This window comes from Homo sapiens, chromosome 16, assembly GCF_000001405.40.
Source record: "Homo sapiens chromosome 16, GRCh38.p14 Primary Assembly".
NCBI classification, from domain to species: Eukaryota; Metazoa; Chordata; class Mammalia; order Primates; family Hominidae; genus Homo; species Homo sapiens.
In genome coordinates this window covers 63,100,309-63,125,802 of record NC_000016.10, presented here as the reverse complement: position 1 = coordinate 63,125,802, position 25,494 = coordinate 63,100,309, and the positions used below count along the sequence as shown (strand labels likewise).

The window sequence follows — 25,494 nt, the reverse complement described above, 5'->3', positions numbered from 1 at the left end:
GAGTGTGATGTTCCCCTTCCTGTGTCCATGTGTTCTCATTGTTCAATTCCCACCTATGAGTGAAAATATGCGGTGTTTGGTTTTTTGTTCTTGCGATAGTTTACTGAGAATGATGATTTGCAATTTCATCCATGTCCCTACAAAGGACATGAACTCATCATTTTTATGGCTGCATAGTATTCCATGGTGTATATGTGCCACATTTTCTTAATCCAGTTTATCATTGTTGGACATTTGGGTTGGTTCCAAGTCTTTGCTATTGTGAATAATGCCGCAATAAACGTATGTGTGCATGTGTCTTTATAGCAGCATGATTTATAGTCCTTTGGGTATATAGCCAGTAATGGGATGGCTGGGTCAAACGGTATTTCTAGTTCTAGATCCCTGAGGAATTGCCACACTGACTTCCACAATGGTTGAACTAGTTTACAGTCCCACCAGCAGTGTAAAAGTGTTCCTATTTCTCCACATCTCTCCAGCACCTGTTGTTTCCTGACTTTTTAATGATTGCCATTCTAACTGGTGTGAGATGGTATCTCATTGTGGTTTTGATTTGCATTTCTCTGATGGCCAGTGATGGTGAGCATTTTTTCATGTGTTTTTTGGCTGCATAAATGTCTTCTTTTGAGAAGTGTCTGTTCATGTCCTTCGCCCACTTTTTGATGGGGTTGTTTGTTTTTTTCTTGTAAATTTGTTTGAGTTCATTGTAGATTCTGGATATTAGCCCTTTGTCAGATGAGTAGGTTGTGAAAATTTTCTCCCATTTTGTAGGTTGCCTGTTCACTCTGATGGTAGTTTCTTTTGCTGTACAGAAGCCCTTGAGTTTAATTAGGTCCCATTTGTCAATTTTGGCTTTTGTTGCCATTGCTTTTGGTGTTTTAGACATGAAGTCCTTGTCCATGCCTATGTCCTAAATGGTAATGCCTAGGTTTTCTTCTAGGCTTTTTATGGTTTTAGGTCTAACGTTTAAGTCTTTAATCCATCTTGAATTGATTTTTGTATAAGGTGTAAGGAAGGGATCCAGTTTCAGCTTTCTACATATGGCTAGCCAGTTTTCCCAGCACCATTTATTAAATAGGGAATGCTTTCCCCATTGCTTGTTTTTCTCAGGTTTGTCAAAGATCAGATAGTTGTAGATACGTGGCGTTATTTCTGAGGGCTCTGTTCTGTTCCATTGATCTATATCTCTGTTTTGGTACCAGTACCATGCTGTTTTGGTTACTGTAGCCTTGTAGTATAGTTTGAAGTCAGGTAGCATGATGCCTCCAGCTTTGTTCTTTTGGCTTAGGATTGACTTGGTGATGCGGGCTCTTTTTTGGTTCCATATGAACTTTAAAGTAGTTTTTTCCAATTCTGTGAAGAAAGTCATTGGTAGGTTGATGGGGATGGCATTGAATCTATAAATTACCTTGGGCAGTATGGCCATTTTCACGATATTGATTCTTCCTATCCGTGAGCATGGAATGTTCTTCCATTTGTTTGTATCCTCTTTAATTTCATTGAGCAGTGGTTTGTAGTTCTCCTTGAAGAGGTCCTTCACATCCCTTGTAAGGTGGACTCCTAGGTATTTTATTCTCTTTGAAGCAATTGTGAATGGGAGTTCACTCATGATTTGGCTCTCTGTTTGTCTGTTATTGGTGTATAAGAATGCTTGTGATTTTTGTACATTGATTTTGTATCCTGAGACTTTGCTGAAGTTGCTTATCAGCTTAAGGAGATTTTGAGCTGAGACAATGGGGTTTTCTAGATATACAATCATGTCATCTGCAAACAGGGACAATTTGACTTCCTCTTTTCCTAATTGAATACCCTTTATTTCCTTCTCCTGCCTAATTGCCCTGGCCAGAACTTCCAACACTATGTTGAATAGGAGTGGTGAGAGAGGGCATCCCTGTCTTGTGCCCAATTTTCAAAGGGAATGCTTCCAGTTTTTGCCCATTCAGTATGATATTGGCTGTGGGTTTGTCATAGATAGCTCTAATTATTTTGAGATACGTCCCATCAATACCTAATGTATTGAGAGTTTTTAGCATGAAGTGTTGTTGAATTTTGTCAAAGGCTTTTTCTGCATCTATTGAGATAATCATATGGTTTTTGTCTTTGGTTCTGTTTATATGCTGGATTACATTTATTGATTTGTGTATATTGAACCAGCCTTGCATCCCAGGGATGAAGCCCACTTGATCATGGTGGATAAGCTTTTTGATGTGCTGCTGGATTCAGTTTGCCAGTATTTTATTGAGGATTTTTGCATCAATGTCATCAAGGATATTGGTCTAAAATTCTCTTTTTTGGTTGTGTCTCTGCCCGGCTTTGGTATCAGGATGATGCTGGCCTCATAAAATGAGCTAGGGAGGATTCCCTCTTTTTCTATTGATTGGAATAGTTTCAGAAGGAATGGTACCAGTTCCTCCTTGTACCTCTGGTAGAATTCGGCTGTGAATCCATCTGGTCCTGGACTCTTTTTGGTTGGTAAGCTATTGATTATTGCCACAATTTCAGATCCTGTTATTGGTCTATTCAGAGATTCAACTTCTTCCTGCTTTAGTCTTGGGAGAGTGTATGTGTCCAGGAATTTATCCATTTCTTCCAGATTTTCTAGTTTATTTGCATAGAGGTGTTTGTAGTATTCTCTGATGGTAGTTTGTATTTCTGTGGGATCGGTAGTGATATCCCCTTTATCATTTTTTATTGCGTCTATTTGATTCTTCTGTCTTTTTTTATTAGTCTTGCTAGCGGTCTATCAATTTTGTTGATCCTTTCAAAAAACCAGCTCCTGGATTCATTAATTTTTTGAAGGGTTTTTTATGTCTCTATTTCCTTCAGTTCTGCTCTGATTTTAGTTATTTCTTGCCTTCTGCTAGCTTTTGAATGTGTTGGCTCTTGCTTTTCTAGTTCTTTTAATTGTGATGTTAGGCTGTCAATTTTGGATCTTTCCTGCTTTCTCTTGTGGGCATTTAGTGCTATAAATTTCCCTCTACACACTGCTTTGAATGTGTCCCAGAGATTCTGGTATGTTGAGTCTTTGTTCTTGTTGGTTTCAAAGAACATCTTTATTTCTGCCTTCATGTCGTGATGTACCCAGTAGTCATTGAGGAGCAGGTTGTTCAGTTTTCATGTAGTTGAGCAGTTTTGAGTGAGTTTCTTAATCCTGAGTTCTAGTTTGATTGCACTGTGGTCTGAGAGATAGTTTGTTATAATTTCTGTTCTTTTACATTTGCTGAGGAGAGCTTTACTTCCAAGTATGTGGTCAATTTTGGAATAGGTGTGGTGTGGTGCTGAAAAAAATGTATATTCTGTTGATTTGGGGTGGAGAGTTCTGTAGGTGTCTATTAGGTCTGCTTGGTGCAGAGCTGAGTTCAATTCCTGGGTATCCTTGTTGACTTTCTGTCTCGTTGATCTGTCTAATGTTGACAGTGGGGTGTTAAAGCCTCCCATTATTAATGTGTGGGAGTCTAAGTCTCTTTGTAGGTCACTCAGGACTTGCTTTATGAATCTGGGTGCTCCTGTATTGGGTGCATATATATTTAGGATAGTTAGCTCTTCTTGCTGAATTGATCCCTTTACCATTATGTAATGGCCTTCTTTGTCTCTTTTGATCTTTGTTGGTTTAAAGTCTGTTTTATCAGAGACTAGGATTGCAACCCCTGCCTTTTTTTGTTTTCCATTTACTTGGTAGATCTTCCTCCATCCTTTTATTTTGAGCCTATGTGTGTCTCTGCATGTGAGATGGGTTTCCTGAATACAGCACACTGATGGGTCTTGACTCTTTATCCAATTTGCCAGTCTGTGTCTTTTAATTGGAGCATTCAGTCCATTTACATTGAAAGTTAATATTGTTATGTGTGAATTTGATCCTGTCATTATGATGTTAGCTGATTATTTTGCTCGATAGTTGATGCAGTTTCTTCCTAGTCTCAATGGTCTTTACATTTTGGCATGATTTTGCAGCAGCTGGTACTGGTTGTTCCTTTCCATGTTTAGTGCTTCCTTCAGGAGCTCTTTTAGGGCAGGCCTGGTGGTGACAAAATCTCTCAGCATTTGCTTGTCTGTAAAGGATTTTATTTCTCCTTCACTTATGAAGCTTAGTTTGGATGGATATGAAATTCTGGGTTAAAAATTCTTTTCTTTAAGAATGTTGAATATTGGCCCCCACTCTCTTCTGCATTGTAGAGTTTCCGCCGAGAGATCTGCTGTTAGTCTGATGGGCTTCCCTTTGAGGGTAAGGCGACCTTTCTCTCTGGCTGCCCTTAACATTTTTTCCTTCATTTCAACTTTGGTGAATCTGACAATTATGTGTCTTGGAGTTGCTCTTCTCGAGGAGTATCTTTGTGGCGTTCTCTGTATTTCCTGAATCTGAACGTTGGCCTGCCTTGCTAGATGGGGGGAAGTTTCTCCTGGATAATATCCTGCAGAGTGTGTTCCAACTTGGTTCCATTCTCCCCGTCACTTTCACGTACACCAATCATATGTAGATTTGGTCTTTTCACATAGTCCCATATTTCTTGGAGGCTTTGCTCATTTCTTTTTATTCTTTTTTCTCTAAACTTCCCTTCTCACTTCATTTCATTCATTTCATCTTCCATCGCTGATACCCTTTCTTCCAGTTAATCACATCGGCTCCTGAGGTTTCTGCATTCTTCACGTAGTTCTCAAGCCTTGGTTTTCAGCTCCATCAGCTCCTTTAAGCACTTCTCTGTATTGGTTATTCTAGTTATACATTCTTCTAAATTTTTTTCAAAGTTTTCAACTTCTTTGCTTTTCGTTTGAATGTCCTCCCGTAGCGCGGGGTAATTTGATCGTCTGAAGCCTTCTTCCCTCAGCTCGTCAAAGTCATTCTCCGTCTAGCTTTGTTCCGTTGCTGGTGAGGAACTGCGTTCCTTTGGAGGAGGAGAGGCACTCTGCTTTTTAGAGTTTCCAGTTTTTCTGCTCTGTTTTTTCCCCATCTTTGTGGTTTTATCTACTTTTGGTCTTTGATGATGGTGATGTACAGATGGGTTTTTGGTGTGGATGTCCTTTCTGTTTGTTAGTTTTCCTTCTAACAGACAGGACCCTCAGCTGCAGGTCTGTTGGAGTACCAGGCCATGTGAGGTGTCAGTCTGCCCCTGCTGGGGGTTGCTTCCCAGTTTGGCTGCTCGGGGGTCAGGGGTCAGGGACCCACTTGAGGAGGCAGTCTGCCTGTTCTCAGATCTCCAGCTGTGTGCTGGGAGAACCACTGCTCTCTTCAAAGCTGTCAGGGACATTTAAGTCTGCAGAGGTGACTGCTGTCTTTTTGTTTGTCTGTGCCCTGCCCCCAGAGGTGGAGCCTACAGAGGCAGGCAGGCCTCCTTGAGCTGTGGTGGGCTCCACCCAGTTCGAGCTTCCTGGCTGCTTTGTTTACCTAAGCAAGCCTGGGCAATGGCAGGCACCCCTCCCCCAGCCTCGCTGCTGCCTTGCAGTTTGATCTCAGACTGCTGTGCTAGCAATCTGCGAGACTCTGTGGGCGTAGGACCCTCCGAGCCAGGTTCGAGATATAATCTCCTGGTGCGCCATTTTTTAAGCCCGTCGGAAAAGCGCAGTATTGGGGTGGGAGTGACCCGATTTTCCAGATGCCGTCTGTCACCCCTTTCTTTGACTAGGAAAGGGAGCTCCCTGACCCCTTGCGCTTCCCAAGTGAGGCAATGCCTCGCCCTGCTTCGGCTCGCGCACGGTGCGGTGCGCGCACCCCCTGACCTGCGCCCACTGTCTGGCACTCCCTAGTGAGATGAACCCAGTACCTCAGATGGAAATGCAGAAATCACCCGTCTTCTGCGTTGCTCACGCTGGGAGCTGTAGACTTGGAGCTGTTCCTATTCGGCCATCTTGGCTCCTCTTGAGACACAATCTTGCTCTATCGCCCGGCTGGAGTGCAATGGCACAATCTGCTGACCTCAGCCTCCACCTCCTGGGTTCAAGTGATTCTCCTGCCTCAGCCTCTCGAATAGCTGGGATTATAAGCATGTGCCACCACATCCAGCTAATTTTTTGTATTTTTAGTAGAGACGGGGTTTCACCATGTTGATCAGGCTGGTTTCAAACTCCTGACTTTGTGATCCACCTGCCTCAGCCTCCTAAAGTGCTGAGATTACAGGCGTGAGCCACCACGCCTGGCCTATAGTATTCATTTTTAACTTGACAGAGTCCACTTTCCCAGTAATATTTTATTTTCAATTATATATTTTCATTACTCCTAGCCTTCATGCCATTTTTGTCATGAACTTTATTTCTAGAAATATACTGTTATTTTTTTATAATTCATTTACTTTATATATTTATTATTAGCACTATATTGTTACTATTTTGGTTTAAACTGCCATTTACATAATAAAGGCTTGTGTATTAACCTATGTCTTTTATTTCCCATGTTCTTCTTTGAAAAGATACTTATTTTTATGTTGTATAATTTTTTTTCGACTTAGGTAACTTTCTGTAAAAAATTACAGCAGTGCAGAAGGTCTACTGGTGAGTAATCATTTCAATTTTTATACAACTGGAAAAGTCTCTATTTAACCTTTGTTTCTGAAAGAAATTTCTGTGGGTATAGAATTTCTATGGGTTGATAGTTTCTTTTTCTTTCTTTTTAAAAGATATTTCTACCTTTCTTTCCATTTGCATTGCTTCTAGAAAGAAATTTGCTACCATCTTTATTTTTGTATGTAATATGTCTTTTTTCTCCAGATGCATTTAAAATTTCTCATCATCACTGGTCTTGAGGAAATTTATTACATTATGCCTTAGAGTGCTTCTCTTCATGTTTCTTTACTAAGTTTCTTGTATCTATTGGTTTGTGTACTTTATCAACTGGGAAACATTTTTAGCCAATGTTTATTTTTATCGCTCTTCTCTCTTACTCCAGGGACTTCAATTACCCCTATATTGGGCCACTTAAAATACTTATCACTCATGTTCTGTACATTTATTTGAGTCTTATTTCTTCTGTTTGGGTAATTTGTTGTGCTGTGTCTTCAAGTTCGTTAATCTTTTCTTCTGATAGACCTAATATGCTCCAGTTCCCAACCATTGCATTTTTTAAAGAAATCTCATACAATGTTGTTCTCATATCTAGAGGTTCATTTTGGATCACTTTTATATTTTCCATGTTTTTACTCCTCATTTTTAATCTTTTCTTTAGCCTTTGAACATAGGATATGGTTACAATAACTGTACTATTGTTCTTTTTGGCTAATTTTAGCTTGTCTGTCATGTCTAGATTGGTTTTCATTGATTAATTTTTCTCCTCACGGGTTGCATCTTTCTACTTACTTTCATGCCTTTTTGTTTATTTTATTTTTTGAGACGGAGTCTCGCTGTGTTTTCCAGGCTGGAGTGCAGTGATGTAATCTCGGCTCACTGCAATCTCTGCCTCCCAGATTGAAGCAATTCACCTACCTCAGCCTCCCAAGTAGCTGGGACTACAGGCGCATGCCACCACACCTGGCTAATTTTTTGTTTTTAGTAGAGGCAGGATTTCACTGTGTTAGTCAGGATGGACTCAATTTACTGGCCTGGTGATCTGCCATGCCTTGTAATTTTTTGCTGATATGCGATACTGTAAATTTTACCTTCTTGTGTACTGGATACTTTGCAATTCTACAAATAATCTTGAGCTTTGTTTTCACACACAGTTAAGTTTTGTCCTTTCAGATGTTGCTTTAAGATTTGGCAGAAACACATTTAGAGATTTTTCCACACTATAAAAGCAAGAATCTTCTGAGTCCTCTACCTAATTCCCTGTGTCCCAATCTGGCTGGTGAAAACAGACTCTATTAACAAATCTGCTTGATCTTTATGTAACAACCTCTGTAATCCTTGAAGGTAGATATTCATCCAACCTTGGGATGTTTTCTTACACTCATACACTAATCAGTATTCTATAGAGTACTCAAAGGGAAACTTCCATAGGTCTCTGGAGTTTTCACTCAATGCAGAATTCTTTCAAATTATCTTCCTTGAAACCTCTAGATGCCTTAGTCTCTCCAACCTATCATTTCTATTTCCTTAACTCTTCACTCCACCATGACTCTTTCTGTCTACATAGCCTTCTCAAAATCATGAAATTTACCACAAAATTATAGTTTAATGTCAATGTAAAGATGTATATAGATAGTGTCTAAATTTTTTTTTGCCCATGTTTTTCAAAGGAAATTTATCTAGCTTATTTCTTCTTTAAATCATTTTATGATGAGAGTGTAAAACTATAGTCTCATTAGAAAAATAAACAGGCCAGATGCAGTGGCTCATGCCTGTAATCCCAGCATTTTGGGAAGCCAAGGCAAGAGGATCACTTTATGTCACGAGTTTAAGACTGGCCTGGGCAACATAGCAAGACTCTGTCTCTATAAAAAATAAAATAATAATTAGCTGGGTGTCATGACATGTGCTTGTAGCCGCAGCTACTCAGGAGGCTGAGGTGGAAGAATAGCTTGAAGCCAAGAGGTCAAAGCTGCAGTGAGCTATGATTGTGCCACTGCATTCCAGCTTGGGCAACAGAGTGAAACCCTGCCTCTATAAAATAAAAGTAAACAGATGCAGTATGTGAATATTTATAGAATTAACATGGGGAAATTAGATTCAAAAATTAATCAGGTTTAATTTTGAGCTAATTCATAAGTGAGGACAATTTGGAAAGGTACACCCTATGCAGTCATTAGGTCTGAAGGGGTATTTTGGAAACTGAGCAGGGAAACAACTCAGAGAGCTCTGCTTTGCCTATGAAAGTGATGGAGAAAGGACCTGCCCAAACCGAATTCAAACATATCCCATGTTAGAGCATTTCATAGTTCTAGGGGAACATTGCTAACTTGTACTGAGTGACAGTCTTCAGAGTCATATCCCCTTCTTGTCACATGGATCCAGTGCTTCAGGTTTCCATCTACCCAGAAAAATTCACCTAGAGCTTCTTTCTTCAATCACTTTGTGTTTCACACAGAACCCTATTGTCAATATTCTCACAGAAAACCCCAACCAAAACAGATCTAGACTTCAGATGAAATGAAGAAGTTAATCCAAATTGGGTTTAGGGTATTTTCAGATTCCTGACAAAATAAAAATGTTATTAGGACAACTAGAGCTCACTCATTAGGTGGTGTTCACTCTAGGGTATGTCTTACAAAAAGATATATTCTAATTAAAGTGATAATATGTTTCTAGTGTTAAACGAATACTGGTAAAAAGCCAATGAGAATTTCCATTAAAACTTTTAAAATAGAAAAACAAATTGAATATGTATTGATTTTCTACCACTCAATTCAAGAGAACTGTGACATTTTCATATCAGAAATAAATGTCAGTATTCATTATCAGATAAAACTAAAGATAGAATCCATCAACCAAACCTTGTGTAAATGACTCCAACAAATTATTCACACCTTCAATTGTATCAGAAACAGATTAAACACTGCTTTTTCTGATTAGTAGGATTCCATATTAAAGGGTAACAAGGATTGTGGAGTCAGAAATTACTTTAGTCATGAAAATCATTAGTTGCCAATTAAACATATTCCATCTGTACCTAGGTAGATAAACCTTGTAGTTTGTCAAAAAAAAAAAAAAAAAAATCAACCTATGAGAAGTAATTAGCTTTTCCATGACTTTTTTCCTTTTTTTTTCCTTTCTAAACTCTTTTATGATACTAAAGTTTCATGAGAATGATGTTCCAGCAAAATCTGTGCTACATATCTTCCATTTGCTCAGGGCCTTGCTTTGTGACTTGAAGTATAAACTTCATGGAAGGCATCAGTGTACTCCACTGCCCTTTGGGTTAGGTTACAGTAAGACCAATGGGATGCTCAAGTAAGATACTAGAGAGCAGGTGGAGAAGTGAGATCAGAGTATTTATTTACCTGGTTCCTCCCTGCAGTGTTAACAGTGGTTGGCTGTTTCATTTCATTAAGGTCATAGTTGTTGTTTTTTTTTTTTTTTTTCAGGAATCCTTTTCCATGTAGTTCTCTCCCCAATTTCTACTAACTACTCTTTCCATGACCTCTTTTACCCTCAAGTTACAGAAACATCTTCTCCCCTGTTACTAACCCTGGGAAACCTCACATTCCCTCATTGATTTCCCTCAAACCTGTGCACGCTTTGAAAATAATTCCTTCACTAAACTCTCATGATTTTCTAACTTGAGTTCATGATTATCTGTTTCTTGTTTATGTCTTAACTAATGTCTTTATACACTGGAAGCAGCAGAAAAGAACTTTAGATATTGTCCCTTAACCTACCCTGTGAATGAGGCACCTGAGACAAAATACATGTCATAACCTATGTCATAGGAAATCAATTTTTTCTAAATAATAGTATTAATATCACTAATTATTGTAGAGTGACAGAGATGTGACAGGCCATTATGTTGCAGATTTCCTTCTGTTTTAGAGTTAATAATATTCTATTATATGTATATAGCACATTTTCTTGATTCATTAATCTGTCAAAGGACCCTTGGATCATTTCCCCATCTTGGCTATTGTGAATAGAACCTCAATGATTAGCTAAGAAAACACAATGGAGAAATAATTGTCTCCTCAAAAAATGGAACTGAGAAAACTGGTTATCTACATGCAAAATAATAAAAATGAACTACCTTATACCATATACAAAAGCCAACTCAAAATGTGTTAAAATCTTAAACATAGTATCAGCAACTGTTAAACTACTAGAAGAAAACATAGGGAAAAGCTTAATGGCATTGATCACGGCTATGATCCTTGGGATATGACAACAAAAACACAGTCAACAAATGCAACAATAGATAAGCAGGACTACATCAAACTAAAAAGCTTCTGTACAGCAAAGAAAAAAATCAATGGACTGTAAATGCAGCCTAAACAATGGGAGAAAATATTTACAAACTATGTATGTGATAAATGATTAATTTCCAAAATACATAAGGAACTTCTACAATTCAATGGCAAAAAACAGATAACCCTATTAAAATATGGGCAAAAGGCTTGAACAGAAATTTTTCCAAATAAAGCATATAAATGACCACCAAGTATATAAAAAGATGCTGAACACAACTAATCATCAGAGAAATGTAAATCATAGCCAAAATGAGATATCACTTCACACCTGCTATGATTACTATTATCAAAAAACAAAAGATCAGTGTTGGTGAGGATGCGGGCTAGTTGGAACCCTTGTACGCTATTGGTGGAAATGTAGAATGGGAAACAGTATAGAGATTCCTCAAAAAATTAAAAAAATAGCACTACTGTGTGATTGATTCACCAATCTTACTTCTGGGTATATATATATATGAAAGAATTGAAATTAAGTTCTCAAAGATATATCTGTCCTCCCATATTCCTTGCAAATGTTTTGTAATTCTTTTCATTATATATCCAATTAAATTCCAATTATATACAGTCTAGTTCCTAAATCTTTTTTGAATCCAATTATTTAGAACGTAATGTATATTTTACTAGTTTAGAGCTTCAACATTATATTCCTGGATTATTTCAACAGCCTGATAAATAGTGTCTAGGTCTTAATTATTTTTCAGTTCAAGCCATTCGTCCATAACATCCAGGATATGTAAAATGATCGATTATATAATAATGTCTCTTCCTGAGTAAAATCTTTGGAAATGTTTTTCATTACTCTTAGTTTAAAGTCTAAATTTCCTAAGATTGTTATTACTTTCTGCTGTTAGGAAAATGGTGTTCCTCCCCAGCAAAATATGTTAAAGTCCTAACCTTTGGTACCAGTGAATGTGATCTTATTTGTAATTAGAGTATTTGAAGATATAATCAAGTTAAAATGAGGTCATAGTGCATTAGGGCAGGCCTTACATTCAATGACTGATGTTATAAGAAGCCAAAATTGTGGGCCGGGCACAGTGGCTCACATCCGTAATCCCAGCACTTTGGGAGGCTGAGGTGGGTGGATCACGAGGTCAAGAGAGAGAGACTATCTTGGCCAACATGCTGAAACCCTGTCTCTACTAAAAATACAAAAATTAGCTGGGCGTGGTGGCACGCACCTGTAGTCCCAGCTACCTGGGAGGCTGAGGCAGGAGAATCATTTGAACATGGGAGGTAGAGGTTGCAGTGAGCCAAGATCATGCCACTGCACTCCAGCCTGGTGACAGAGTGAGACTCCTCCGTCTCAAAAAATAAAAAAAATTTTTTAAAAATGTGGGAAACAATGACACAGGCACATACAGAGGGAAAACAGCTATGTGAGGATGAAGGCAAAATTCATAGTGTCTGATGCAGCTACAAGCCAGAGAATGCCAACAATCCCCAGGGAATACTTGAAGCTTGGAAGAGGCAGGGAAAGGTTCTTCTTTGGAGCTTACAAGGGAGCACAATCTTCATGACACCTTCATTTTAAATTTCTAGCCACAAGGACTCTGAGTGAAGAAAATTACTGTTGTTTTGAGTCATCTAATTTGTGGCTTAAATTTGTTACCACTCTATATTCATTTCTATAGCTGTAATTGTCATCATTGTTTCACATGCTTTATCTTGTCATGCCTTATACATCCACACACATCCTACAATTCAGATTTAATAACCTTTTTTATTGGTATAGTCTTCTCATGTTTACATTCTATTTTATCCACCTATATTCCATATGTATTCATTTGTGTGGCTGTCAGAGCAAATGATCACAAATTTGGTGGCTGAAACAACTGAAGTTTGCTCTCTCATAGTTCTGCAGGCCAGAAGTTCATTAGTTTCAGTGGACTGAAATCAAGGTGTTGTTAGGACCGTATATAACCAGAGGCTCTAGGGGATAACTTCTCTGCCTGTTCCACATTGTGGTGGCTGCTAGAATTCCTTTGCTTGTGGCTGTAGCACGCCAATCTCTGCTTCCATTTTGCAGTAATGGGATAGGTAAGCGTGTCAGTAGGTCAGCTCTGTTTGCAGGATGAAGAGCATATTAAGAGGCATTCTTATGTTGACATTGCTCAGTCCCAGTACTCAGACTCTGCAATGATGACTATGATTCCAATTTTTAAAAAAAGTATTTGACTGATGAGAACTTTTAAGCCTTGTCCTTCCCTCTTTTTCTTGTGTCCTATATCTAGACAAGCTGGTAAGAAAACCTGGGTGATCCGTGGGTACCAGCAGGAGATTCAAACCAGGAAAGTCTCTGTCCACACCAGAGAATCCTCACCCTAGCCTCATCTCCTAACCACAAGGAAAACTCATGCCATTCTTTTTTCCTAGCTCTCTCAAGCCATTTATTTCTCTCCCTTTTTGAATCATTTCTTTTTTTCTTTGATTTCCTTCTTTCTTTCTTTCTTTTGAGTCAGGGTCCTAATTCATCATCCAGGCTGGAGTGCAGTGGCATTATCATGGTTCACTGCAACCTCTGACTCCTGGCCTCGAGTGATACTCTTGCCTCAGTCTCCTAAATACCTAGGACTATAGGCATGTACCACCATACCCAGGTATTTTTCGGTTTGCTTGATTGTTTATTTAGAGATGCAGTCCCACTATTTTGCCCAGGCTCATCTCAAACTCCTGGTCTCAAACCTCCCATCACAGCCTGCTGAGCTGCTAGGATTATAGGTATGAACCACTGCACTGGGCTCTCAAGCCATTTCTAACTAACTGTCTTGAGGGGCCTGCCTTACTCTTTCCAGAGACCTCAATTATGTATCTGAAATTGCATAATTTCAATATAATAAGGAGAATTTCATACCTTCTTGGTGTATTTTTTATATATTCTTGATGTCTTTTCATACCTTCTTGGTATGTTTGTGCCATCATTAGTGTCTCCAAACCAAGTTTTGCTAGGGGAATCCATCGTTCTCTGCAGGTGATCATAACAGTCTATTTAGGGATAGGATTTCTTGCTGTGAATGGATAACCAGGCCATGTAAGCCAGTCAGAAACCCCTTTTTGAAAAGTCAACTATTTTGAGTTAGCTCTCCAAAGACCTAGCACTGCCTACGCAAGAACCAGATTGCATTTCTTATAATTCTTTTTCTTGGGCAACAAATCAATTTAAGCTTCACCATCATACTTATTTTCCAGAGTCATAGCTGTTGCTTCATGCCTGAGAAAGGAGACTTATACCCTTTGATGGGTCAATATTACAATACATGCAATGGAAGATTCCTTTCTTGTCACATTTGTGTGGTTGATGGTATCACAGGGATATTTTGCCATGTCCTATTAACCAAAAGAAAGTAAATCCATTGCAAATATAGGCTTTTTGTGGCTACTTCAATTCTAGTTGTCTCAACGTCTGCCAAGATATTCGCTTTTTAGGTCAGTGTAGTGTCCCACAAAGGCTTTTATAGATGTGTCTGAAGGCAAACGACATCTCATGAAACATGGTTCCATGGTCTCGTTAATGTATGTGACTTTCCAAGCTTAAATTGTGCCATGTTTATTTTCCTCTTCACTTGTCCACAATTTCTCCCATTTAATTTAGATTGTTCAATTACCATTAATTCCAGGCAATCTATTGTTTAATTGGATGAATTTCAATTGCAAATTAAGACTGCTGGTTTCAACCAAGAAAGCCAATTTAAACCTGACAACAGGTTTGTTTAAAAAAAATAGGAAATGGTATGAGAGGATGGAGAATAACACAGACTTTTGTTTGTGTATTAAGGTGTCACTTGTTTGTTTAATTAGAACAAAATCGTAGTTTTCTACTAACAAACTTTCTCAATTGCAGAAATAAGTAGCACCATGACTTTTCATGTGGGGAATATTATCATAAAAAGCTTACCTATCCATTTAACAATTCCAGAACAGCATCTTCTTACTTAACCAGAATCTTGTTATTTAACGAGCTCCATCTTATAATCATTCTAAGTAACAAATAAAAGGTTAAGAAGAGGTTATATGATTAAAATATGTGGCACTGTATAAAATGTAAGAGAAAAGTGAAGAAGATACTTTCTCAGTAGTACTAAAGGAGGCTCTATGAAATATTGGGTCAAGCAATAGCTCTAAAAGAATATAAAGGGCAACTCAAAGGGTGACATGAGACTATTATGAGATTCTGGGCATATTTATGGTTAGGAGAAGAGACAGAAAACTCTTCAGAATAATATACAATAATACCTGTTATCCTTCTTTGCATGATGGGTAAATGTATTTAACAGCCAGCATGTTAAACTGCTTACCCTGGAAGCTTCCTACTAAACAGACAACAATAGAAAAAGTATATAAATGAAGAAATAATTTCTTACATTACAAAATGGTGCTTAGTAAAACTTACTGAGACATTTTAACATTTTGCTAGATGCTCTACCAGTGTCCAGAAAATGTGCTTATGCAGAGTAGAATGTAGGAGAAAATATTAATGAAAACTCAGAATTTTTAAAGTGTCACATTGTGGCAAGTATAAAGAATACACAGAAAAAGAATTTCAAGTTTGAGCATTTTCAAATGAAGGAATATAATAGATTGTGATGAAAGCTTTGCAGAGATAAATCTCTGGATTCAAAGTGAGTAATATAAGTTTTTCTGGTTCTCACACACTCATCCTCATTGCCCATATCTAGACTTCTGGGGAGTTTATTAATGTTGTTGGCAATCAAGATGAAGGGTTTCACCTACAGGGATGATGACAAAATGAGGCATCATATAATCATTCTGTTCCAAGTATACATTGTAAACATTATTATATTCCAAGTATACATTGTGATTGTAGGCTGAAACAAGGGGCAGTGGGTTTTTTTAAATGTATATTATAGCTAAATAGGAACAGTAGGTATCAAAATACAGATTATTAAGGAAAAATAATGTTGCAAATGCATTGCCCAATCTGAGTATGAGAGTCTTGATTATTTAGAATGGGTGAGCCTGCCCTGCCAGCTATATATTTATAACAGTTCCTAGAGAGGATCTTAGAAGGATAAAAATTGATTGGTTGAGACTGACAGCAATATGTTATAAAAATGAAATTTATAAAGATTTTATTCTATAATAAACTAAAGAACTGTTTAGACAAATATAAAAATAGTGTTCATTGTGGTTCTGATATAAACTTCCAATTCTTTAACACAAAATGATTGGTGAAAATTGCCATATATAATTAAGTGAAAACACTTTTTCTTGTGTAATGAAAATTTTATTAGCATTCAATCTATCACTAATACCCTTTGTAAAGTATGGCTTTCTGAATTGGAAAGGTCCTTGTTAGTTTCAGGGTTATTTTTACCATATGCAGGAAACATTTATGATTGGCTTAGGAGCCTGCTAAAGACTCATGTCAAATGCAACCATTGTATTAGAAATATTAGAAGTGTTAATCTTATATCTGAGAGGTTTACCTTTTTTAAAATACTGAGCAATATGCTACCTTCTAGGAAAAAAAATGTTTTTCTAATTTTAAGGTGCTAGCTCTGTGCTTTCTAACCAGGGCCATCTCTGATCTGCAATATCATCATTCTCCCACTTGGAGTGGGGGAAGATTTCTCTTGTGTTCTTATAAAGGAGTAGCCACCTAAAGTCCCAGTGGAAAAAGGATCCCTCATTATGCATAAACTTGAAACGATGGGTACTTTCTGCACAACACTGTTAAAGATCCATCTGGACAGGACTTTTTTTTTTAAATATAGCTGTTTCACATACACTCTCATGTAGACTGCATTTATAATGCTGAGGACTTCTGAAAGAATTCTTAAAATGACAATCCTAATGTGTTGAAGCAGTATACAAATGCAGTGTGACAGTAAAAGACATTGGTTTTCTCTTCTATGCAGCCACACTAAGATAGAATCTTCAAGACAGCACATTCCACATTAAAGCTGGCTTTGGATTGATAACCATGTGTGAACCAAAAAGTCACACCTTGAATTTAATTTCACAGAGCACTTGTTCTGCTACTTGTTAGCTCTGCAACTGTGAAAAATGATTTCACCTCTCTGAACGTCATTTATAAAATACAAATAGCAGCCCCTAACTTTAAACATTCTCATAAGTAGATCAAGCTTTTTAGTACTTTGCACAGTAACTGGCATACTAAACTGAGTGAACTGATAAGTAAAATTAGGTTAGTAAAATTAGACAATTATTGCTATAATTTTTTGGAAAAGTATCCTTGTAAAAAGAGAAATATTCTTATTTTAATTGTGTGAAACTCTATTTTTTTTTTTGGAGGGGGCGTTCAATTTTTTTTTCCTTCTTTCTCTTGTTTTTTTCTTTTTATTTTTCCTTGAAACTCTATTTTGTCATAAAAGATTTGCTAACAACATTGATAAAGAAACCACCAAGGATAGTGTGTGCCTATGATCTCAAACAAACAGTTCCAGCCTATCAATTGAAAACAAAACAAAACAACTCTACATTTATTTTTTTAAAGTTCTTTACTCCTGAGACACTGAGAGACTTAGCTAAAAGCAATTTTGTCCATTGGATTTGAACAGGATCTTCAAGGGGTCGAGAAGTGGACAGAGCTCCCAGAGGCTGAGTTGATAATGAATCTCCAAGCCTTTCACTGGGAAAACTGGGCTAACACCTGGTACTTCCTCGGACTAAGTCTCTGGCCCTCTGGATGCATGAAAGCTTTGCTACTTGGGGAATAATTAAATGGTTACAAGGGAAAAAACAGAACCAAACGCTTACAGTTTTGCAAAGATAACCAGCAAGGTGAGAAACTGCCAGCAGATTTCCCTAAATAGTGAGGCTGTGGACCTTCTCGTCTTTCACAGAGATGGCACTAATAAAAAGCAGACCACACTGAGACATTGAATCCGATGTCATTCCTATTCTCTTCCCCGATTTAAGGAAATCAAGATGGAGGCAAGGATGCAGGAACTGCTGCATAAAATGAGAACTACTACACTGGAGAAAAATAATTAAATTTGTTATTTTCAAGATATAGAATTTGTTAAATTTGTTATTTTCAAGATAGAGGACATAATTAAATGTTTTATTTTCAAGATATAGAAAAAGAGGAACTAAAATGAGATTTGAGCAAAATACTGAAAGAGGAAGAACACTTTCAAGTCTTGGGATATGGCCCTCTTTATTTACTTTAAAGAGTAACACACAGGACAGAACATCCACACACATCTGTCTGCAGCTACAAATTCCAAATGTCTTGTCTGTTCCAGAGAGCACAACATTAAAGGCAATTTTAGTTTTGCCTTTTCTCAATATATAGATCTCCATCAAAATAATGGTATTAAATGGTATTGTGGTGCAGGCATGCAGTGAATGGTGCAAAACAAGGAGATGGCAGAGACAGCAAGGTAATTGTCATTGACTCTGTTCTAGGAGCCTCTGTCAGACAGGTTTCTGAAGGGTGATGCTTGTACTATTTCTTCGCAAGGGGAGCATTACTTTGCATAGCGGCTGCAAATTCCTCCCAGTATCTGTTCAAATGTGATCAGAGAGCTATCCCTGATCACCCTGTTTAAAATGTCCTCCCAGATGATGATAACTGTTTTTAATAATTTTTTCCCAGTTGCCATCAAAAGTGTATTCTATGTCACTGGTTATTTTCTTACTTATTTAGGGGGCTCTTCATTCTCTGATGCAACCATGAAGGTCAAAGAGGTGCTCTCTGCAAAGATGACTGTGCCTGTGTTCTTCAACTCTTAGGGTAAAGAGTACAACTATCTGGCGTCTGCTGGGTAATAGTTGTTTTTAGTCAAGTTATTTGGTGATGGGGAGGTCATGCTTCATGCCTGAAGATATCAAGTCCTTCTTGAAAGAAAATGGATAGACCTGGGTTATAATCCCAGAAGTACTACTTGCCTACTGGTTTGGAGGAGTTATTTGAAGTAATAGATTTTTACATTGATGGCCCCCAGTATACTGCATGTTCATCTGAAGTCCCCTTAAAACCCGGGCAATTTAACCATAAGCTATCTTGACTTTGGCTTACTTTAACTATGGCCTGTTTCAACTAATAGAATACGGTGGAACTTTTGAACTAAATTTTAAGATAGCTTGGTAGTGTCTACTTCTGCATTCTGGAGAAAGACACCTCCCAAGTAAGAAGTTTGCCTAGCGTGAGACTGCCATCCCATGAGGAAGCCCAAGTAGCCATGTGGTGAGGCACCCATGAAAGAGAACTAAGGATGTGGTGATCAATTCCAGCTGCCAGCCATATGATTGAGACCCTTTTGTACCTTCTGTTTACCCAGTACCCCTTCTGCCACAACATGAAGCAGAAAAAGTGCTGGATTGTACAAAGAAATAAATTGTGTTGTTTGAAGTTTACACACAAACACACAAATGCCCTCAACCTATATACTCTTGTCATTATCTCTAATTCTTCCTTCTTTCCATTGCTTCACTGATTTTATATATATATATATATATACACACACACACATATATTTACATATCTCATATGTAAACTATATTACATATATGTCATATATACATGTATCATATACATATATATGATGTGTGTATATATATCTATATACACACACAACTACTGAGGCATATAACTGAAAACTGTCTGTTTAGATAGGAATGGACTGAGCTTTTTTAAGTATAGAAAATATTTGAGGAGAAGCATAGAAAAAGACAAACCAACAGTACACATGACTAATGACAAATGAAACTGCTTGTTCTGAACATAGAGTGTTTGGACGAGGAATCGGGGAAGGAAGATGAAAACAGGTCACATCCATTTTTCAGAAACCTGATTGTAAGCTAGTTTTGTTCTCTTCAACACTGAAAATTTTGAGGTAGTTGGCCTATGAAAATTGTTAACTCTGTTTACTATAAGTAATACAAATTCAAGAAGATTCCTGTAACATCATCTGATACAAAACCTGTGGCAATTAAGCCTATCTTACTCTGTCATGTGGCAAAATTAAAGTATGATTCTGATCATAAGTGGACGAGGACAATATGTAGAAAGAAGAATCCTACTACACTGCTGGTGGAAATGTAAATTAGTACAGCTACTATGGAGAACAATATGAAGGTTCCTCAAAAAACTAAAAATTAAATTCCACTGCTCTGTATATATCCAAAAGCACATAAATCAGCATATCAGAGAGGTGTCTTCACTCCCATGTTTACAGCAGCACTATTTACAATAGCCAATATGTGGAATTAACCCCAGTGTACATCAACAGATGAATGAATAAGAAAATGTGGTACCTACATACAATGGAATGTTATTTAGCCATACGAAGAATAGAATCATATCATTTGCAAAAACATGAATGGAACTGGAGGTCATTAGTTTAAGTGAAATACCAGGCACACAAAGACAAATATTGCGTGTTCTCACTTATATGTGAGAGCTAAAAAAAAACTGATCTCATAGAGGTAAGGAGTAGAATGATGGTTACCAGAATCTGAGAAAGGTAAGTAAGAGTGGGTGATTAAGAGTGGTTAGTTAATGGTTATAAAAATACAGTTATATAGAAAAAATAAGATACAGTGTTTGGTAGCATAATAAGGTGACTATACTCATCAATAATTTATCGTATATTTCAAAATAACTTGAAGAGTGAATTTGAAATATTCCTAACACAAATATATGATAAATGCCTGAGGTAGTGGATATCCCAGTTACCTTCATTTCATCATCACACATTGTATGCTTGTATCAAAATTTCATATGTACCCCATAAATATGTACGATTATTAGGTATCCATAAAAAGTAAAATTAAAAAAAGAAAAGGCACATGTAAAAAACAAATGATCAATTAAACCAGAATTTGCACTCTTTGAGGGCAAGAGAAATATTTATTCATGCTCCTATCCTCAGCATCTATCGCATTACATGATACATCTTAGATTCTAAAAATATTAGAGAGTTGGAATAATTAGAAAAAGTGCATAAGAAAGAAATGGATCCACAAGATATTGAGCATAATTAAAAGGAATAAAGGGACAAAATCCAAAGGAAAATCTTTGCAGTTGGTGACATTTATAAGGACTACAAGCTATGAGTTATTTTTGAGCTACTTCAGAAATAACCAAGGAGAAGCAAACTAAACTATTGCAAATTGTACTGTTTCTGGGGAGAACATTATTTTGCACAGCTGCAATAAATTCCATCCGGTTTAAAAGGGAATACTCTGATGTCAATTGCTAAGGATCAAATCTCACTGACACACTATCTGTTACCTCAGCAATTAGCCTAAACTCTTCAACAGGCAAAGTTCTCATTTGTAAGCAGTTACAGCAAGGGTTGTAAGGATTGCATGAGACAATGAACGCAACAGACTTTGCTCAGGACTGTGACTTAACAATAGTTTACACAGATGATGCTACTATTTTTATAGATATTATTATTCAAAAGTAATAGCTGAGAGGAAAAAGAAATTCCAAACAGTGAGAGCCAAAGCAGAAAAACAGAAAATAATAGTAATCCAACCCTTTCTGCCAAAGCTAGACACCAGAGAAACACTCAATCTAGCTAGCTCCAGATGCTAAGAAAGTGGTTTGCCTAAGACCTTCAAAGATATAATGGCATAATGAAGGAAGCATGGGTTTTGGAATCAGAAATGTCTGGCTTGGGCCTGGGCGCGATGGCTCATGCCTGTAATCCCAACAGTTTGAGGAGGCCAAGGTGGGAGGATCGTTTGAGCCCAGGAGTATGAGACCAGCCTGGGCAACATAGCAAGACCCATCTCTATGAAAAATTAAAACAATCATTAGCCAGGCACAGTTGTGCATGCCTGTAATTCCAGCTACTCTGGAGGCTGAGGTGGGAGAATTGCTTGAGCCCAAGAGTTTGAGGCTGCAGTGAGCCATGATCATGCCTCTACACTCCAGCCCAGGTGACAGACAAGAGATCTTGTCTCTATCGGAATAAAAATAAATATAAATATAAAGAAATATCTGGCCTGGAATCTTCTTAGGGATCAAGGCAAGCTACTTCATTCCCTCATCTTAAAAATTCAGGAGTATTATCAGAAGTCACTGAAAAACAATAAATAAAGCACATCTTGCACATTTTAGATGCTCTTTCAACCACAGATGTTTTTAATGTAAAACTTAATAGTTTACAACATGACATAGAGAAATAGGATTTGGTTTGAGACATTGCAGAGCAGCCCCAATGCCCTGAGGATTCAGTATAGCAGTATATTCAGCTGAATAGCAGTCCAGTTGAATTTGATTAACTATATGTCCAAATTTGAATATATTTACTGCCTCTCATAAAGTGAATATATGTGAATCCATATATTCACATGCAAAAGTAGAAAGATTTGCAACAGCCAGTTCTACAAGTTTGAATCCTCTAAAGAAGGATAATTCTGTGATGATTTTTAAACTGATTCAGAAGGGAGCATTTTTAACCCAAGCTTGTATTATTTTTATTCACATATTTCTTTAAATTCTCGTAATGTGTGTAAAGTAGTACCACTTTTAATTCATCCTATTCCTAACACACAAAATACCATCAAAAATCTAATGCAAAGGGTTCCTTATGCAAACGCGTTAAAATTCTACCTGGCAGTGATGCTTTTACATATATTCTTGCAACCTATTTTAGGTCAGGTTATCCAGAAGCAGAGCCTAAGATAGGGATTCTCATATACGTGATTTATTTAAGGAACGCTCTCAGGAGTTACTCATAGACGGTAGAGAACACAGAACAGGACAGGGAAGAAGCTAAGCAAAGATATAAGTTCAGCTGAAGTCTCACCTCTAAGAAAAAGTCAATAATCTAATGGGAAACTAATGAATAGTACCATGTCATTGTCTAACCATGAGTTCTCCATATCAGTTAGCAATTGAATACAGCCTGCTCCTGGGAGTGGGACATGACTTCCAGGGCTAGGAGGCTTTGATCATTCAAGGCAGCTCTCCAGAGAAGAGTACGGCCATTAGCTAATGCAGCTGTTATGCACAGAAATGAGGGACAGGTGCACTTGGACAGTAAAGGACATCTAGGCAGGTCTCCTGAGTTATCTACCATAATTCATTCCTTACATTTCTTAGATCTACTTGCTTATCATATTCAGTTCCTTGCTTTCCACCACAGCTTCTCCAAGCTTATGGACAGTTAGTTACAATTTCTGGGTAAATTGAGTCTCTGCTGCTACAGTTGGTCCTGCTATAATATATCTGCAGTTCCACCTCTTCCTGGTTATCAAGACCATTTACACCCACCAATTTGGTAACTACTTTCCTTGCATTCAGGTTTGCTGGCTGGGTAGTTCAATGTGATCGGGTGATTATCACAACTTGAAGTTTGGTGGAACTCTGTGTCATCTCTGGAAACCAGGACTTCTAGACCCACAGAACCTAAAGTTGTCAGGACAAGAAGAGCAAGTTAAGAAACTGGGTCACTGGAAGTGATAGTGAGCAGGGTCTTTTCTTCTTCCCCTTCTTGGTTCACAGGCCTATATATTCAAACCAGTGGGCATATACTGTACCATACTGTGGCCATTGATATAAGATATATATTGTACTGTGAAGGATAGCATCTATTCTCACAGGATAACTTCTCTAATATTGTATCTCAGCTGTGTCTTCTAGAGGTCATTCTGCTAATTTATAAAGTCCAATACTTCTGGGTTGTGTTTATGTTTGGAAAAGACACTGTGAGTACTCCTTGGCAGACCTTAATAGGTAAGTTACATGGAATACATCTGTATGAGTCTTGTCAGGTTGCCATAACAAATATTCTACACTGGAAGACTTAACAGAAATTTATTTTCTGACAGTTTGGAGACTGGAAGTCTAAGATCAAGGTGCTGTCAGGGCTGTTTTCTGGTGAGGCCTTTTCTCCCAGAATATAAATGACCACCCTCATTTTATGTCCGCATGTGACCTTATTTCTTTGTTTGTGCAGTGATAGAGAGAGAGACAGAGAGAGAAAGAGAGAAAGAGACCTTTTGTCTTTTCCTCTTATTGTAAGGGCACCAGTAGTATTGGATTAGGACCCCATACTTATCAAATCATTTAACCTTAAATACCTCCCTAAAGGCCGTATTTCCAGATACAGTCACACTGGGGGTGAGCATCTCAATATGTTAATTTTAGGGAAGACAATTCAGTCCATAACAAAACCTAAGATTTAGAGTAAGACCATGCCATTTGCAGCAGAAAACTATATACCATTCAAAAACATTGCCAGGTATAAAGTAAGAGCCTGGCCAGGAGACATCAAGAGCGCATGCAGCCAGAGCTTCCCATCCTGAGTTGAGTGCAACAGAACCACTAGATAATAATGTGGACCCAGAAGCAGTCTGTGAGATGGAAGGGATAAATCTGCAACTGGCCTCGAATGGCTCCAGTGGCAATAAGTGAGATGTACAAAAAGATAGCCTAGATCCTCATGTCACTCAACACCATTACCCTTTTCTAAGTTCACACTGATGGCCTTTTACGATATTATCTAGTACCAGGTGAAGGGATAGGAAAAACTGTGAGCTTAATTCACAAATAGCTATACACGTATAAATGTTTATGTACATATAAAACACATACACATATACATACCACATATACATATATACATAGTACATATATTCATACTATATATGTGTGTATATATTTATACTTACTATATATATTCAAATATATATATTCAAAATATATATAAATATTCAAAATATATATATATTCCCATTCAACAGCTTTGCCAGCTTTTAAGAGGCAATATTGGTTAAAACAGAAGAGGATGAAGTGTGTTAGATCACCTCTCAAAGCCTCAATTTCCTCACCTTTTTAATGGAAATATTAATCCTTATATTTTACAAGGCTACTCTGAGTATTAATTTAAGTAATATTCATCAGAAAGCATAATAAACCAAGTGTTACATTAAAAACCAAACTGTCAAATTCATATACACTGAGCTAAATCTGTTTGCTCAAAAATTTATCTCCAGTTTCTTCAATATTAGAAGCACTCAATAAATAGCTGTTGAATTATATTAAAATTAATAAATATTAGCAATTATTTCTATGGTATTGAGATATTAATATAAGAAGTTAATAGATTATTTGTTTTTCTTCTACATGATAAACTTTGGTAGTATTAATCTCCTATATCTATTTAAATAAATATGTTTGAAAAACTTTTGTAAATATATCATTACTTTTGTAACTCAATGAGGTTATATTTTTAGCTGTAATTGCATAACCTTTTCTCACTTAAGAGAATTCCAGACATTTACCAAAGTAACTTTCTAAAACAATATCTGAAAGTAGACAAATGAACTCTCACTTTAATTTTGCTTTTGAGAAAAATTTATGAACTAATTATTTGCATTACATGATTTTAGTTAGAACTCTGAAGCAGACATTGCTATTCCTATTTAAATAAACTAATAAAACAGCAAGCAAAGTAAAGTTGTAGCAGATTGTTTGAAAAAAAATGGGTCCAACTATTTTCTTCCCTGTAACCACTTGTTTTTGCTGTATAACCTGGCAATTTGTTTCCCCAAAAGAAATGTTCGTTTCCCCGCCTCTAAAAGTTGGGCTCAACTTAAGACTTCTTTTGTCAACAGAATCAATGGAAGTGACACTGTGAAAAGTTCTGAGTCTCAAATGCCCTTGCCTGCTTCTATTCTCTCTCTGGAGTCCTTGCCTCTGACATTTAAACAAGTCTGGCTTCCCTGC

General features: G+C 37.3%; 1 long non-coding RNA gene across 1 annotated transcript in view, besides 2 other annotated features; it reads left to right on the top strand.

Moving 5' to 3' along the window:
• The window catches only part of LOC105371308 (uncharacterized), a 512,336-nt gene extending 492,244 nt beyond the window's left edge, over positions 1 to 20,092 (top strand). Inside the window, exons 5-6 of the long non-coding RNA XR_001752232.2 lie at positions 6,438 to 6,480; positions 17,360 to 20,092. This is a non-coding gene — a long non-coding RNA (uncharacterized LOC105371308). The remainder of the gene's footprint in view (positions 1 to 6,437; positions 6,481 to 17,359) is intronic.
• Positions 4,997 to 5,496: an enhancer, noted in NCBI's record as "H3K4me1 hESC enhancer chr16:63154211-63154710 (GRCh37/hg19 assembly coordinates)". NCBI's record gives its function as "activates a minimal SCP1, AML or CMV promoter by ChIP-STARR-seq in naive H9 embryonic stem cells {active_cell/tissue: H9 hESC(naive)}" and the evidence as "EXISTENCE:reporter gene assay evidence [ECO:0000049][PMID:30033119]".
• Positions 5,497 to 5,998: an enhancer, noted in NCBI's record as "H3K4me1 hESC enhancer chr16:63153709-63154210 (GRCh37/hg19 assembly coordinates)". NCBI's record gives its function as "activates a minimal SCP1, AML or CMV promoter by ChIP-STARR-seq in primed H9 embryonic stem cells {active_cell/tissue: H9 hESC(primed)}" and the evidence as "EXISTENCE:reporter gene assay evidence [ECO:0000049][PMID:30033119]".
• Positions 20,093 to 25,494: the final 5,402 nt, after the last annotated feature.